This window comes from Homo sapiens, chromosome X, assembly GCF_000001405.40.
Source record: "Homo sapiens chromosome X, GRCh38.p14 Primary Assembly".
In the NCBI taxonomy this organism is placed as follows: Eukaryota; Metazoa; Chordata; class Mammalia; order Primates; family Hominidae; genus Homo; species Homo sapiens.
In genome coordinates this window covers 6,270,901-6,288,099 of record NC_000023.11, presented here as the reverse complement: position 1 = coordinate 6,288,099, position 17,199 = coordinate 6,270,901, and the positions used below count along the sequence as shown (strand labels likewise).

The 17,199-nt window shown below is 41.5% G+C and overlaps 2 annotated features.

Moving 5' to 3' along the window:
• Nucleotides 7,956–8,839: an enhancer, noted in NCBI's record as "OCT4-NANOG hESC enhancer chrX:6197302-6198185 (GRCh37/hg19 assembly coordinates)". NCBI's record gives its function as "activates a minimal SCP1, AML or CMV promoter by ChIP-STARR-seq in primed H9 embryonic stem cells {active_cell/tissue: H9 hESC(primed)}" and the evidence as "EXISTENCE:reporter gene assay evidence [ECO:0000049][PMID:30033119]".
• Nucleotides 10,767–11,505: an enhancer, noted in NCBI's record as "H3K27ac hESC enhancer chrX:6194636-6195374 (GRCh37/hg19 assembly coordinates)". NCBI's record gives its function as "activates a minimal SCP1, AML or CMV promoter by ChIP-STARR-seq in naive H9 embryonic stem cells {active_cell/tissue: H9 hESC(naive)}" and the evidence as "EXISTENCE:reporter gene assay evidence [ECO:0000049][PMID:30033119]".

The window sequence follows — 17,199 nt, the reverse complement described above, 5'->3', positions numbered from 1 at the left end:
TGTATGACTGCCTAAAACATGGTTATATTTTATAAAATGTAAAAATTAAATATGGATGGTCTCGAAAGAGCATAGCTTACATCTAAATTTGTTTAAATAAACTTTTAAGTGATTTACAATGTATTTTGCTATCAAAACACTAAAAGATTTGATTAAAATTTTATCTACTTTGCTATCTGCCGTTTTGTGCAATTACTATCCCCTCCTCTCTTTTAATTATTCCTTAAAGGAAAACTGCAAAGATAATACATGGATAAAGCTGAAGGATTTTATAACCAGGCAGTTTTCTCAGTTTTACAACGCTTGCACTTTGACAAAATTTTGAGTCAGAAAATCAAAAGTTTAGTTTTGAGAGAAAAATGCTAAATTGAACACTTGGTGCTGATTATCTCTGATCACTACTTGGGAGGATATATAGAAAAACACATTCTTTTGGTAAATGGATGGTTTCTGAATTGTTGACCCCATCACAGATTCCTATACTTCTTTGATGCATTGATTATAATACAGAAACCACATGGCCCTCAATGGCTGACCAGAGTATACTATTTCTGCATCTACATGAGGTTATTATGGAATGTGGTCTAAATCAAATGGGAAGAGAAGTCATACCGCATGGGACCCTTCCATAGCCACTAACCCTGGTATCAATCTCCATATTCCATGAAGACACTGTTTCTTGAGCAAAGGCTGCGTGTGTGCAGAAACTCAGCCTTGTGGGAGAAAGTGCCTTGGCTTTGAAAAGGCAAAATACACCACTTACATTCTGAGATACATAGATTAATAGATACAGAAATATTATTTAAAAGTCTGTAGAACTACAGCAGACCCATTTTCTTTTCTAGTAGAAGTATTATCTTTACCTAAGGAATCTAAGGATGGCAATGCTGGAGGGGGAGGGTGTTTTACAAACTTTTATAGAAAGGCAAATGTCAAAATCATTTAACAAGAATAAACTTGAAAACCACACACAGTGGCTCACGCCTATAATACCAGCACTTTGGGAGGCCAAGACAGGTGGATTGCTTGAGCCCAGGAGTTTGAGACCAGCCTGGACAACATAGCAAGACCCCTTCTCTCCAAAATATTTTTTAAAAATTAGCCAGGCATGGTGATGCACTCCTGTGGTCCTCGCTACTCTAGAGGCTGAGACGAGAGAATCACTGCAGCCCAGGGGGTCGAGGATGCAGTGAGCTGTGATCACAGCCCTGCACTCCAGCCTGGACAACAGAGCGAGACTCTGTCTCTCAAAAAGAAGAATAAAGTTGAGTGAGAGGGCAGATTGAACTTACTTGAAGTAAGAGTCTTTGACAATTCAGGAATGAAATGTATCCAACCAAAATTGAGTTTCAAAATGTGGCAAGCATGATAAAGAAAAAAAAAAAAAAACTATTCCCCTGCTACCACACATAGCTCAAAGAGGAGCTTTTTTATTTCTTGGTAATACTTCATACTGACAAAGTGAAAAGGAAGCAAATGTTGTTGTTACAAAGAATTAAAGATAGCTCATATCATTCCATCTCCCAAGAAGAAAATAAATAGGAACAAGGGTAAAAATGAGAGAGAAATGGTGCTGTTTTTTTTAAACCACACAAGAGTGTCTAATATGGTTTGGCTGTGTCCCCATCCAAATCTCATCTTGAATTGTAGCTCCCATAATCCCCATGTGTCATGGGAGGGACCCAGTGGGAGGTAACTGAATTATGGGGTGGATTTTCCTGTGCTGTTCTCATGATAGTGAATAAGCCTCAGGAGATCTGATGGTTTTTTTAAAGGGGAGTTCCCCTGCACCTGCTCTCTTGCCTTCTGCCATGTAAGACGTGACTTTGCATCTCCTTCACCTTCCACCATGATTGTGAGGCCTCTCCAGCCAGGTGGAACTGTGAGTCCATTAAACCTCCTTTTCTTTATAAATTACCCAGTCTCAGGTATTTCTTTATAGCAGTATGAAAATGGACTAATACAGTGTCCCATCATAGAAAATCATTTAAGTTCCATTCTTTACTTGGATTTATTTCATTTTATTTTTTTTTATAAATGGACACAGTAAATTTTACTCTCTTCAAGCCCTAGGAATTTACCAGTAGATGAGCATAGTACGCATAATATAAGTGTGCTTTTAACTAAGATGGGCAGCCATTTCTCTCTTATACAATACGTTCCTAAAAATCAACACTAAAGTTGGATATGAGAAAATCCAACAATAACTTACCCACTAACAAGAGAGCTTTAGATCCATAAAACAAAAATGCATATTAAAATATCCCTTTCAGAAAAAAAATCATTGATGACACTATTCCAGCATTTCATACTTGCTGTTTAGTTTTTTTCTTTTTCTTCCAAACAGCAGTAGTGGGCTTAAGCCCAATGAGGTAGAGATTCTACATTTTTCATCTCACTGAAGGATTTTCACTTTTGTTTCAATCTCATTGACTTTTTGAGACATATTTCATATTGCAGTAGTAGCATGCTAGTTGTTCCATTTCCTACCCTTTAAGAAATAAAATTATAGAGGCAAAATCAGTAAGATATTCAAAGAACCTTCTTAGCATCACTGTACAAAGAGGAAGAGTCTATCAAAAAGTTACCATTGACTGGCAGAGAATACTATTCAGCAGAAGCCTGTGGTTCTCCATGATCAGATAATAGAGCAAAGTACAGTTTGGCATATTCACACATAAGCATTGATACAAATATATATAAACACAATGATACATACATGTGTGGATATCTAACTACTTATATATACAATACACATATATTTTAAAATCCTTTTCAAATTAAACAGAAAAGTGTTAATATTCCAGTTACTAGCAGTATCAAGGACTAGATCTTTTCATACTCGAATGAGGGTCTACATGTCATATCCAACAAAATGTCCATTGAGTCTTTCTGATTTGGAGGGAGTCTTTACTGGCCAGGCAGTGTGATCTCATGGTTGACTAAGTTCTAGGTTTTGAGTTCTGCTATAGAGTCTGAGTTGGACTGCAGTCTAGTAGAAATAATGAGCTGAAAGTAAGGAAAGTGAGGAAACATTCATCTCCCCAATGAATGCTTTGCCCTGCTATGGTCAAGAGAAATAATTCCAACAATCCCTGTGGATGGCTTAGAGGATGACTTTGCTACATCAGTCTTTTCTTCCTTCAACTGAATGAGAGGGTCCGTTGATCTCTAGTGTGACCCACAAAAGATTTTGAAGGAGATACTAAAGATTGATTTAAGAGAAATGGAAATGTCTTGTGAATGCAACTTGCAACAATTGATTGAAAGAAGGTTCATGGTTTGGAAGGTTTAAAAGCCCCATGAACAAAGGAAAAACAGCAAGAAACTTAAGATATGTGTAGCAAAGAAGACGTGTTTGAACCATGCTGAGAGCTTGGAAATGCAGTTGAAGGCCAGATGGTGGAGGAATTGAAACCCAAGCTTGGGAGATTGTCTTTGAGAGCATTGTGTTGAGCATAGCCTGAGATTCTGGAAAAGAGTGAGCCAACGTCATGAAAGTATCCTGGAATCCTGCAGACTGTGGCTTGGCCACCTTTCACCTGGGTGGTCTGGGAAACTTCTATCCTAATTGGCCCTCAGTCTTATAATCTGCAACGTGAAAGTGATAGGACTGTTGTAAAAATTAAATGTGAGTTCTATGTGAGGTATCTTTTACACGGTAGGCATCCATTAATGTAGGCTTATTATGATTGTTACTGAGACACATTCCTTGAGAATATCCCTCACTGGAAGATGGGTAGAACAACGAAGATGTGTGCAGAATGGTGGGGGTGAGGGTATGTAGGAGTTAAGAGTGAAAAAAGGTCTTGAAATTAACCAGGATTTGAGATTTTGTAACATGAATGTAAGGAAAAGAGAGGCAAGCCAACACATACCTGACAAATAATTTCTGATGAAATCCCAATGACTTAATATCTATTTTTTAGAAACAAATTATTTATATTTTAAGAGAACCACTGGATATAGTAATGGCTTAATCCAAGGCATTGAAATAAAATTTTAAGGGTGATAGAAATTGTAGTCATTTGTACAGCTAAAACAGTAACTTTATCATCACGTCATCATTATTATTATCATCATCATCATCATCATCATCATCATCATCATCATCACATGAGGTAGGTTGTATCTATCATTATGGAAAGGCTAGGAATGGTTATCTATTGATTTGGGGGTAATCATTAACATTCTTGATATGCTTTGGCTGTGTCCTCACCCAAATCTCATCTTGAACTGTAGCTCCCATAATTCCCATGTGTCATGGGAGGGACCGCTGGTAGATAATTGAATCATGGGGGCGGTTTGCCCCATACTGTTCTCGTGGTAATGAATAAGTTTCACCAGATCTGATCGTTTTATAAGGGGTTTCGCCTTTCACTTGGTTCTCATTCTCTGTTGCCTGCTGCCATTTAAGACATGCCTTTCACCTTCCACCATGATTGTGAGGCCTCCCCAGTCATGTGGAACAGTGAGTCCATTTAACCTCTGTTTCTTTATAAATTACCCAGTTTCGTGCTGCTGGTATGTCTTTATCAGCAGCATGAAAACGGACTAATACAATTCTTAACGTAGAAGAAGGACCTGGCCATCTGTTCTGTCTATAAACAATCCTGTACCTTCATCACGGACCCTTGCAACATTTAACCACCTCCTCATTCTTCAGGTATGATATTAAATGTTCTGTCCTGTGCAAAGTTCCTATTCCTCCAATATTTTCTATTGTTGTTAATTTTCTGCTGTGTGTACATGGCAATACTGATCATGGTTTGTAGTTTCCTATTGTCTGATACATTTCTGGCCACCTCCTGTGCTGGACAGACTTTAAAATGACCCCCAAAGATCTGCACTTTCTAGTTTACACTTTCTTGTATAGTCCTCTTCCACTGAATGTACCCTGGACCATGGATATAAACTCTATGCTACATAAAACTCCATCTTGCTAGTCCATTCTCTCTAGAGACTTTCTCTCCTGTGGACATTGAAGAATCCCGTGTTCATGTGAGCTGAGGACGGCCCGTAAGAGTGGAGGGTGTCTCCTAGCCCATAACCAACAAGAAGCTGGTCTCTCAGTTCTGCAGCCACAAGGAAACAAATCTGACAACAGCATACCTGAGGTTGGGAGTGAATTCTTCCCAAGTCCAACCTCCAGGTGAGAGCTCAGCCCAACACTTTGATGGAAGCCCTCATAGACTCTAAGAAGAGGATTCGGCTAGGCTTTCCCTGAATTCATGGCCCACAGAAACTGTGAGATCATAAATGCATATGGTTTTAAGTTTGGGGTAAGTCACAGTTTCTATCCAGGCAAAAAGAGCACCCATCTATGACCACTGTATGTTCAGTTCAGTGTAGGGCACTAAACACTAGAGATCTTAATAAAGATATCTTGTAGGATGGACGACTGGATAAATGACCTTAATGAAGAAAGAAGGGAGAAAGTAGTGAATTGGAAATGAATTGCATTGAATTCTTGCAAGGATCTGCTCAGTCTCATGGCTGAATTTTTCTGATGTTGGTGGAATCTCTGCAGCTAAGACAATTGTAGCACAAGCTCGTTCACATTCAGTCAACAGCCATCACTAAGTGAGTAAGAGCTTCAGAGCTGGATTTGGGAGGGAAAGGTTGGAACCCCAGTTCTGCTGTTTACCAACTACTGATATCACCAAAACATTAAACCTCCTTCTATTTTATTCTTTGTAATTTGAACGGGGCAGATAATAAAGCCTCACAGAGAATTAACCAACATATGCAATGGAAGGATAGTTCTGAAAGTATTTAAGAAGGTTGTCCATATCCCAAGCCCATGATCAATGTGATTTGACTTCCTCTGTTTCTTTCCAGAAATATTAAGGAACATTATTAATCAGCTGCAACAAACTCTCAATTATGACTCTCCTTAATACAAAATTAATTTGGTGTATTCTATTCCATATATCCTATTGTTTCCCTGATTATCATTTGTATTACTCTTATGGAGAAAGGCAACCAATATTAAACTCCTTGACATCACAAGGGTTTTGGTAAATGGTGAGATCACTCTGTTTCTCTATTTCTATGGCTAGCAGTCCTTCAAATTGCTAGGTACGGTGTTTTGCCCATAGGTTAGACTCATTCATTCAATCGTCCATTTAATAAATATACACTGAGGACATCTTTTGTGCCAAGCATGGTAATAGACTCTGATTTTTAAAAATAGAAAAGATGACTATGACTCCAGAGAGCTTTCCATTATTCTGAAACCCCAAATTATACTTTGAGATCTTTTAGTTGTATCAGTAACAAAATTCTACAGTATAACTGAAGAAAGACCGGGGCTGGTCAGGGTGCTACCTTAATCCAAGCACTATTCCCATTTATAAAATAAACCATACTTCCATAGACAAAACTTCATCTTCCTATACCTGTAGGAAGAATCACACAAGGATATTTTGCATATTCTCCAAGATTTTGCTCTGAATCACTGTGGCCAAGTTTTTCATTGATATTCAATGACTTTTCATATTAACATCACTTTGGAATATATGCTCTTAAAGATGATACTTCTAAGAGATTGTGTGTTTTCATGATTAGTATATGGCTACTTTCATCTAATCCCTTAAACTGAACTTTTGATGAATGCTGTGAAAATGGATCAATTAATTCAATTGATGCCATGGTTTGCTTAAGAAGGAGAATGAAAGCAATTCATATTTTATGGATGAAAGGGAGCAGAGTCTTGCAATCTCTGAATTTACATTAAAAAGAAACATACTAAATACAGATGGTAATTTTTTTAACTTGATAAAATATATGTAGGAACTGTATAACTCTAAGCCATTAGAAAGACAGATTCCCAGCATTGACTATGTCTTTATTTCTTTCTATTCTTGATTTCCATCAACTAAATAGATTCCATTCAGTTATTTAACTTCAATGATAAGTAAATCGGAACAAATACTGCCATGATAAATCAGCCACCCACTAACTGGAATCACATGTTCACTAGAGCATGTCATGTAGGGTTTAAGAGACATCACAATTTATTCACATTCTCTGGCACTGAAAAAAATAGAAAAGGTAAATTATCTTGTTTGGCAATTTCAAGGCATTCCTGGAGACGTCTAGTTGTTGTTTTACCAGCACATTTTGGTTCTATTGATGACTTAAGTCCACAATCCAATGTACTTTTGAATATATTAGAATCACAAATTGAAATTTCATTGTTGTAACAAAATGCCCTTGAAGACTTTTCTTTTTATTAACATAAAAAGAAAACCTTTTTGAAACAAAATGATTTAACAATGATGAGAGGAGGCGGATGTGAAACTCTGACTTCCAAGCTGCACAGTGCCCCAACATACCTGCTGGATTTTGTAGCAATTGGAATCAGAGACTAGCATTAAAGGATGTCTGTTCATCCAAAGTTGTCCAAACCTGTTACCTCCAAGACTTTTATGCAGCTCTTTTTCTCTTATTCTTTGATGCTAGCTTGGTCTATAACATCCTCAGAAATATGATCTCTCTCTCTCTCTCTCTCTTTTACTTTCTTGGAGAATCTGAGTTGCATAAATGCCGCAAAAACATTTGCATCAAACTGTTAGAGCACTGGATGTTAAAACACTCATTTTACAACTTAACCCACTGCTTAAATTGCACTGCCAAGATTGCAAAGATTAAATTATAACTCCCAGAAACATGGACAGTGTAGAACTTAATGAAGAAGGGTCTACCGAGATATACATCTTTCGTATTGCTTCCAGCTAAAGCCGCTCAAGGTGAATCCGTCTGGAAGTTTGTTTAAAAAAAGCAAAGAAGAGAAAAAAAGCAAGAAACAGCATCACGGAAATGGGAGTTATATAATTCTCTGGGTTATTTTTAGAATCCTTTCCATGGTGTGAAAAATAACGGATGTAAGAATTAAATTAATAAGGTGCATGTACCTTCTTAGTAACACAGTGAGCTTTCAGATCAGTGGGGTGTGCCGTCTCTGCATCTATAAGAAAAAGGCTTCCAGAACATTAGGCTTCCTTTAACATTTCATGTCAACAATGCACGGCAAACGTCATGTTGTTTTCACCTCTTTATTTTTAAGCTTAGGAGGCGCATCAGAAAGAGGGGGAACTGATTCACTCTCTCAATAATTTGCCAGAAGGCTTTCTCTCCACTGCTCGGGAGTCCTCAGAAACGTCGTTTTCCTGCATACATGCCGAGCAAATATTGTTCTGTTTTCAACAGTTTCCCTACCAGTCTTTTACTCATGTTTCTCAAGATGATGTGAAACCTGCAAAGATCAGTACAGTTACACATTTCACTCTGCCCTCAAGTGTTGCTGTTATTATTGTTGTTTTTCCTTCAAAACCTGCTTTCTGTTGAATCCAGCCTGATTTCTTTCCAAGCCAGGAGGCATGCACTAATCAGCATAACTATTCCATAGCCACCTTTTCTTTTGGGATATCCTGGAAAAAGACACAATGCTCCGTGTTTCATAACAAATATGGGAACATTAGCTCCACAGCTGGAGATGAAAATGTGCATATTACCAAAAACAGTAGGGATTTCAGTAAGGATACTAAACAAACAGCGAGAGGCACCTCATTACAATTGGACAGGGCACAGTCAGACTCCTACAAGTATTTTTTCCTGGCGAGTATTTCCGTTCTCTGATTCAGGGCATACAAGCAAAGCAGCTCAGTAGGTTTGGGGGATGCGGAGGCTAGCCAAACCTTTCATTTGTCTATTTCTCTGGCTTTCCTGCAGACTTCCAGCTCTCAGAAGAAGCCAATAGTATTTGCAAAGGGGCCCAATTAATGCTGAATGGCTTTAAACCTGTTCTGATGGAATTCCACAAAATAAAGTTGCATACACTCACCACAGCTGCAAGTCAGATAACTTCTGCAAGAAGAGAATTTCGAGGAGCAACTTAATAAAACATGTCTCCAGTGCAGGCACCCTAAATTTTGTCAAAAAGGTACAGCGTGTGCCAGAAAAATTTCAGAAAGCTTCCCTAACTCCCTGAAGTGGCCAAGATGAGGAAGATTTGGTGTTTCAAACCCAGTCCTCTGCCCTGTGTGCTGGTCTGCTATTTTTCCCTTTTCAAAGTTAAGCATTGATTACTGAGTCCTGGATGGAGGTTCCTCCTCCAAAACTATCCCTTCCTAAACTACATCTCTAAGCCTTGGGTGAAAATATCTCCCATCTTAGGGTGCACTCATAATTCTTCTCCCGTTCCTTCACATCATTATAATGGCTATCCTTTGCAGTTTTCGGAAGATGCCTTTGGAATTTTTCATCTCCTTGCAGGTTATTTAAATGGTGTCATCATTTTTAAGCATCAGGAACAGTTAAGAACCAGACGAACAATATGTCTCTCTGAGCCATGGCTGCATTTTTTAGGCTTTAGACACCCATGCCACACCACTTAAGGCCATCTTTACTTTGGGAGACCTTCCTCCTATGGGCTGTGACTGCCTTTAAGTTGTAAATTCTCAGAACCAGCATTTCGCTGCAACCGAACTTCCTCTGACAAGAGTCAGCAGGGTTCAACATCAAAATTCATCCAATTTGGTGTCTCACGAAGACCTGCTTGTGGTTGGCGGGATGAGAACTCACTCTGTGTGAAGGAGCTTGCAGTCTCGGGCTTGCCTTTTTCACTGAAGACAGAGAACCATAGGCTGAATTCTACCCACCTTGTGAGGAGCTGAGCTGCCCCCAACTGTCAGGTTGATACCTTGAAGTTCTGAGAACCTTCGAATGTGACTTAATTTGGAGATAGCCTTTAAAGATGATGTAATCAAGTTAAGATGAGGCCATTAGGTGCGTTCTAAGCCAGTATGACCAGGGTCCTTATAAAAAGGGGAAGTTTGGACACAGAGACAAAACACAGGGAGAAGATGGCATCTGCAAGCGAAGGAGAGAGGGATCAGGAGAAACCAGCCCTGTCGACACCTTGGTCTCACACTTCCTGCCTCTAGGACCGTGAGAGAATAAACGTCTGTTCTATTAACTACCCGGGTTGTGGTACTTTGTTACAACAGTCTGGGAAGACTAAGACTCCCCTATGTATCCCTAGCCACAGATCACCAGAAGGCTGCTGCTTTAAACCTGGGCTACCATTTTCTGATGTTTTACAAATTATCAAATGTAGTGACAGGATGACATTTGATAAACAAGGAGATATTGTCAGGCCTCTGAGCCCAAGCTAAGCCATCATATCCCCTGTGACCTGCACGTACACATCCAGATGGCCGGTTCCTGCCTTAACTGATGACATTCCACCACAAAAGAAGTGAAAATGGCCTGTTCCTGCCTTAACTGATGACACTGTCTTGTGAAATTCCTTCTCCTGGCTCATCCTGGCTCAAAAGCTCCCCCACTGAGTACCTTGTGACCCCCACTCCTGACCGACAGAGAACAACCCCCTTTGACTGTAATTTTCCTTTATCTACCCAAATCCTATAAAACGGCCCCACCCTTATCTCCCTTCGCTGACTCTCTTTTCGGACTCAGCCCACCTGCACCCAGGTGATTAAAAGCTTTATTGCTCACACAAAGCCTATTTGGTGGTCTCTTCACACGGACGCACATGAAATTTGGTGCCGTGACTCGGATGGTGGTGGGGGGGCCTCCCTTGGGAGATCAATCCCCTGTCCTCCTGCTCTTTGCTCCATGAGAAAGATCCACCTACGACCTCAAGTCCTCAGACCAACCAGCCCAAGAAACATCTCACCAATTTCAAATCCGGTAAGCGGCCTCTTTTTACTCTCTTCTCCAACCTCCCTCACTATCCCTCAACCTCTTTCTCCTTTCAATCTTGGCGCCACACTTCAATCTCTCCCTTCTTTTAATTTCAATTCCTTTCATTTTCTGGTGGAGACAAAGGAGACACGTTTTATCCGTGGACCCAAAACTCCAGCGCCGGTCACAGACTGGGAAGGCAGCCTTCCCTTGGTGTTTAATCATTGCAGGGACGCCTCTCTGATAACTCACCCATGTTTCAGAGGCGTCAGACCACGCAGGGACGCCTGCCTTGCTCCTTCACCCTTAGCGGCAAGTCCCGCTTTTCTGTAGGAGGGGCAAGTACCCCAACCCCTTCTCTCCTTGTCTCTACCCCTTCTCCGCCTTTCTGGGGGGTAAGAAACCCCCAACCCCTTCTCCTTCACCCTTAGCGGCAAGTCCCGCTTTTCTAGGGGTGGGGCAAGTACCCCAACCCCTTATATCTCTGCACCCCGATCCCTTATTTCCACGCCCCAACCTCTTATACCTCTGCGCCCCGATCCCTTATTTCCACGCCCCAACCTCTTATATCTCTGCATCCCAATCCCTTATTTCCGTGCCCTGACCTCGTATCTCTGTGCCCCGACCCCTTTCCCGCTTTTCTGGAGGGTAAGAACCCCCAAACCCCTTCCCTCCATGTCTTTATGCTCTCTTTTCTCTGGGCTTGCTTCCTTCACTATGGGCAACCTTCCACCCTCTATTCCTCCTTCTTCTCCCTTAGCCTGTGTTCTTAAGAACTTAAAACCTCTCCAACTCTCACCTGACCTAAAATCTAAGCATCTTATTTTCTTCTGCAATGCCGCTTGACCCCAATACAAACTCGACAGTAGTTCCAAATAGCCAGAAAACGGCACTTTCAATTTTTCCATCCTGCAAGATCTAAATAATTCCTGTCGTAAAATGGGCAAACGGTCTGAGGTGTCTGACGTCCAGGCATTCTTTTACACATCGGTCCCTCCCTAGTCTCTGTCCCCAGTGCAACTCGTCCCAAATCTTCCTTCTTTCCCTCCCACCTGTCCCCTCAGTCCCAACCCCAAGCATTGCTGAGTCTTTCTAATCTTCCTTTTCTACAGACCCATCTGACCTCTCCCCTCCTCCCCAGGCTGCTCCTCGCCAGGCCGAGCTAGGTCCCAGTTCTTCCTCAGCCTCCACTCCTCCATCCTATAATCCTTTTATCACCTCCCCTCCCCTCCTCACACCTGGTCTGGTTTACAATTTCATTCCGTGAGTAGCCCTCCTCCACCTGCCCAGCAATTTCCTCTTAAAAAGGTGGCTGAAGCTAAAGGCATAGTCAAGGTTAATGCTCCTTTTTCTTTATCAGACCTCTCCCAAATCCGTGAGCCTTTAGGCTCTTTCATCAAATATGAAAAACCCAGCCCAGTTCATGGCTCGTTCGGCAGCAACCCTGAGACGCTTTACAGCCCTAGACTCTAAAAGGTCAAAAGGCCGTCCTATTCTCAAAATACATTTTATTACCCAATCTGCTCCCGACATTAAATAAAACTCCAAAAATTAAATTCCGGCCCTCAAACCCCACAACAGGATTTAATTAACCTCGCCTTCAAGGTGTACAATAATAGAAAAAAGTTGCAATTCCTTGCCTCCACGGTGAGACAAACCCCAGCCACATCTCCAGCACACAACTTCCAAACGCCTGAACCGCAGCGGCCAGGCGTTCCTCCAGAACCTCCTCCCCCAGGAGCTTGCTACAAGTGTCAGAAATCTGGCCACCAGGCCAAGGAATGCCTGCAGCCCAGGATTCCTCCTAAGCTGCGTCCCATCTGTGTGGGACCCCACTGGAAATCGGACTGTCCAACTCACCTGGCAGCCACTCCCAGAGCCCCTGGAACTCTGGCCCAAGGCTGTCTGACTGCTTCCCAGATCTTCTTGGCTTAGCGGCTGAAGACCGACGCTGCCTGATTGCCTCGGAAGCCCCCTAGACCATCACGGACGCCGAGCTTCGGGTAACTCTCACAGTGGAAGGTAAGTCCGTCCCCTTAGTCAATACGGAGGCTCCCCACTCCACATTACCTTCTTTTCAAGGGCCTGTTTCCCTTGCCTCCATAACTGTTGTGGGTATTGACGGCCAGGCTTCTAAACCCCTGAAAACTCCCCCACTCTGGTGCCAACTTGGACAACACTCTTTTCTGCACTTTTTTAGTTATCCCCACCTGCCCAGTTCCCTTATTAGGCCGAGATACTTTAACCAAATTATCTGCTTCCCTGACTATTCCTGGACTACAGCTGCATCTCATTGCCGCCCTTCTCCCCAACCCAAAGCCTCCTTCGCGTCTTCCTCTCGTATCCCCCCACCTTAACCCACAAGTATGGGACATCTCTACTCCTTCCCTGGCAACCGATCACATGCCCATTACCATCCCATTAAAACCTAATCACCCTTACCCCGCTCAATGCCAATATCCCATCCCACAGCACGCTTTAAAAGGATTAAAGCCTGTTATCACTCGCCTGCTACAGCATGGGCTTCTAAAACCTATAAACTCTCCTTACAATTCCCCCATTTTACCTGTCCTAAAACCGGACAAGTCTTACAGATTAGTTCAGGATCTGCGCCTTATCAACCAAATTGTTTTGCCTATCCACCCTGTGGTGCCAAACCCGTACACTCTTTCGTCCTCAATACCTTCCTCCACAACTCACTATTCCGTTCTCGATCTTAAAGATGCTTTTTCACTATTCCCCTGCACCCTTCGTCCCAGCTTCTCTTTGCTTTCACTTAGACTGACCCTGACACCCATTAGGCTCAGCAAATTACCTGGGCTGTACTGCCGCAAGGCTTCACAGACAGCCCCCATTACTTCAGTCAAGCCCAAATTTCATCCTCATCTGTTACCTATCTCGGCATAATTCTTATAAAACCACACGTGTTTTCCCTGCTGATCGTGTCCGATTAATCTCCCAAACCTCAATCCCTTACAAAACAACAACTCCTTTCCTTCCTAGGCATAGTTAGTGCGGTCAGAATTTTTACACAAGAGCCAGGACTGCACCCTGTAGCCTTTCTGTCCAAACAACTTGACCTTACTGTTTTAGCCTAGCCCTCATGTCTGCTTGCAGCAGCTGCCGCTGCTTTAATACTTTTAGAGGCCCTCAAAATCACAAACTATGCTCAACTCACTCTCTACATTTCTCATAACTTCCAAAATCTATTTTCTTCCTCACACCTGACGCATATACTTTCTGCTTCCCGGCTCCTTCAGCTGTACTCACTCTTTGTTAAGTCCCACAGTTACCATTGTTCCTGGCCCGAACTTCAATCCGGCCTCCCACATTATTCTGGATACCACACCTGACCCTCATGACTGTATCTCTCTGATCCACCTGACATTCACCCCATTTCCCCATATTTCCTTCTTTCCTGTTCCTCACCCTGATCACGCTTGATTTATTGATGGTGGTTCCACCAGGCCTAATCGCCACACACCAGCAAAGGCAGGCTATGCTATAGTACAAGCCACTAGCCCGCCTCTTAGAACCTCTCGTTTCCTTTCCATCGTGGAAATCTATCCTCAAGGAAATAACTTCTCAGTGTTCCATCTGCTATTCTACTACTCCTCAGGGATTATGCAGGCCTCCTCCCTTCCCTACACATCAAGCTCCAGGATTTGCCCCACCCAGGACTGGCAAATTAGCTTTACTCAACATGCCCAGAGTCAGATAACTAAAATACCTCTTAGTCTAGGTAGACACTTTCACTGGATAGGTACAGGCCTTTCCTACAGGGTCTGAGAAGGCCACCGCAGTCATTTCTTCCCTTCTGTCAGACATAATTCCTCAGTTTAGCCTTCCCACCTCTATACAGTCTGATAACAGACCAGCCTTTATTAGTCAAATCAGCCAAGCAGTTTTTCAGGCTCTTAGTATTCAGTGAAACCTTTATATCCCTTACGGTCCTCCTTCTTCAAGAAAAGTAGAACGGACTAAAGGTCTTTTAAAAACACACCTCACCAAGCTCAGCCACCAACTTAAAAAGGACTGGACAATACTTTAACCACTTTCCCTTCTCAGAAATCAGGCCTGTCCTTAGAATGCTACAGGGTACAGCCCATTTGAGCTCCTGTATAGATGCTCCTTTTTATTAGGCCCCAGTCTCATTCCAGACACCGGACCAACTTAGACTGTGCCCCCAAAAAAACTTGTCATCCCTACTATCTTCTGTCTAGTCATACTCCTATTCACCGTTCTCAACTACTCATACATGCCCTGCTCTTGTTTACACTGCCGGTTTACACTGTTTCTCCAAGCCATCACAGCTGATATCTCCTGGTGCTATCCCCAAACTGCCACTCTAAACTCTTGAAGTAAATAAATAATCTTTACTGGCAAGGCTATGCTGAACCTCCTTAGGCACTCTAATTAAATGTCCTAGGTCCTCCCAATTCTTAGACCTTTTATACCTGTTTTTCTCCTTCTCTTATTCCGTTTTTCAATTCATACAAAACTGTACCCAGGCCATCACCAATCATTCTAAATGATAAATGTTTCTTCTAACAACCCCACAATATCACCCCTTACCACAAAATCTTCCTTCAGCTTAATCTCTCCCACTCTAGGTTCCCACGCCACCCCAATCCCACTCGAAGCAGCCCTGAGAAACATCGCCCATTATCTCTCCATACCGTCCCCAAAAATTTTCACCGCCCCAACACTTTACCACTATTTCGTTTTATTTTTCTTATTTATATAAGAAGACAGGAATGTCAGGCCTCTGAGCCCAAGCTAAGCCATCATATCCCCTGTGACCTACACATACACATCCAGATGGCCGGTTCCTGCCTTAACTGATGACATTCCACCACAAAAGAAGTGAAAATGGCCTGTTCCTGCCTTAACTGATGACACTGTCTTGTGAAATTCCTTCTCCTGGCTCATCCTGGCTCAAAAGCTCCCCCACTGAGTACCTTGTGACCCCCACTCCTGACCGACAGAGAACAACCCCCTTTGACTGTAATTTTCCTTTATCTACCCAAATCCTATAAAACGGCCCCACCCTTATCTCCCTTCGCTGACTCTCTTTTTGGACTCAGCCCACCTGCACCCAGGTGATTAAAAGCTTTATTGTTCACACAAAGCCTGTTTGGTGGTCACTTCACACGGACGCGCATGAAAGATATTGTTTGATCAACCATGAAACTTTCAGAAAGAGCTTTTGTGTGCTCATAGCTAAGTATGCCTTCCAGGACAAATCCTGCAAGCCAGCAAGAAAACAATTGATAAAATCAGCTGCATAAACTCAAAATTTCTAAATAACAATAATGTCCTCAACAGCGTAAAAAGACAAGGCATAGTGAGGGAAAATACATGCAATAAATCTGTACCGGTCATGATTCTCCAGACGAACAGAACCAATAAGCATGTCGGATATCTGTATCAATATTTATATCTTAGTTGGGCATGGTGACATGTACCTGAGCTCCCAGCTACTTGGCAGGCTGAGGCAGGAGGATTGCTTGAGACCGGGAGGTCAAGACTGCAGTGAGCCGTGATTGCACCACTGCACTCCAGCTTGGGCAACAGAGCGAGACCCTGTCTCTTAAAAAAAACAAATTCATATTGCCTATATATTTACAGATTATAATATATATTATAAACGTATATAAATATTATATATTTAAATATATTATGTACCATATACAGACACATAAATATATATAATCTATATGTTATATGGTATATACTATATAACGTATACAGTATGTACTGTATATATGGTATATATGCAAGTCAGCAGGGTTCAATGTCAAAATTCAACCAAATTTGGTGGCTCATGAAGACTTGTTTGTGGTTGGCAGGACCACAGCTCACGCTTTATGATACATATATATGTATATACCATATATAATAATATATGGCATATATATTATTACAGTGTATATATTATTATACTAATATATGGTACATATATTATTACAATCTATATATTACAATAATATATGATATAATATATTACAATGATATATATGATATAATATGATATAATAATATATGACATTATGGTATATATTATTTGTGGTATGTTATATAATATATAGATTATAATTTATAAATATGTCTTAATATATGTATATTATGTAAGTTATATGACATATATTTACATGTTTATCTAGAAGTATTTTACATATAATATATGAAGATGTGTTTATTTCAAGGAATTGGCTCATTGAGTTACAGAGGCTGGCATGTTGAAAATCCATATAACAGCAGTCTGGTGGCCTGGAAACTCAAATAGGTACTGGTGCTGCAGTCAGCAGACAGAATTTCTTCTCCTCCAGAAAACCTCAATTTTGGTTTTAAGGTCTTTCAACTGATTGGGCAAGGCCAATCCCATAATCAAGGATCGCCTCCTTCACTTAAAGTCTACTGTTTGTGGATTGTTGACCACAACCTCCGGACATGATAGCTTAGCCAAGTTAACACGTTGTGAGT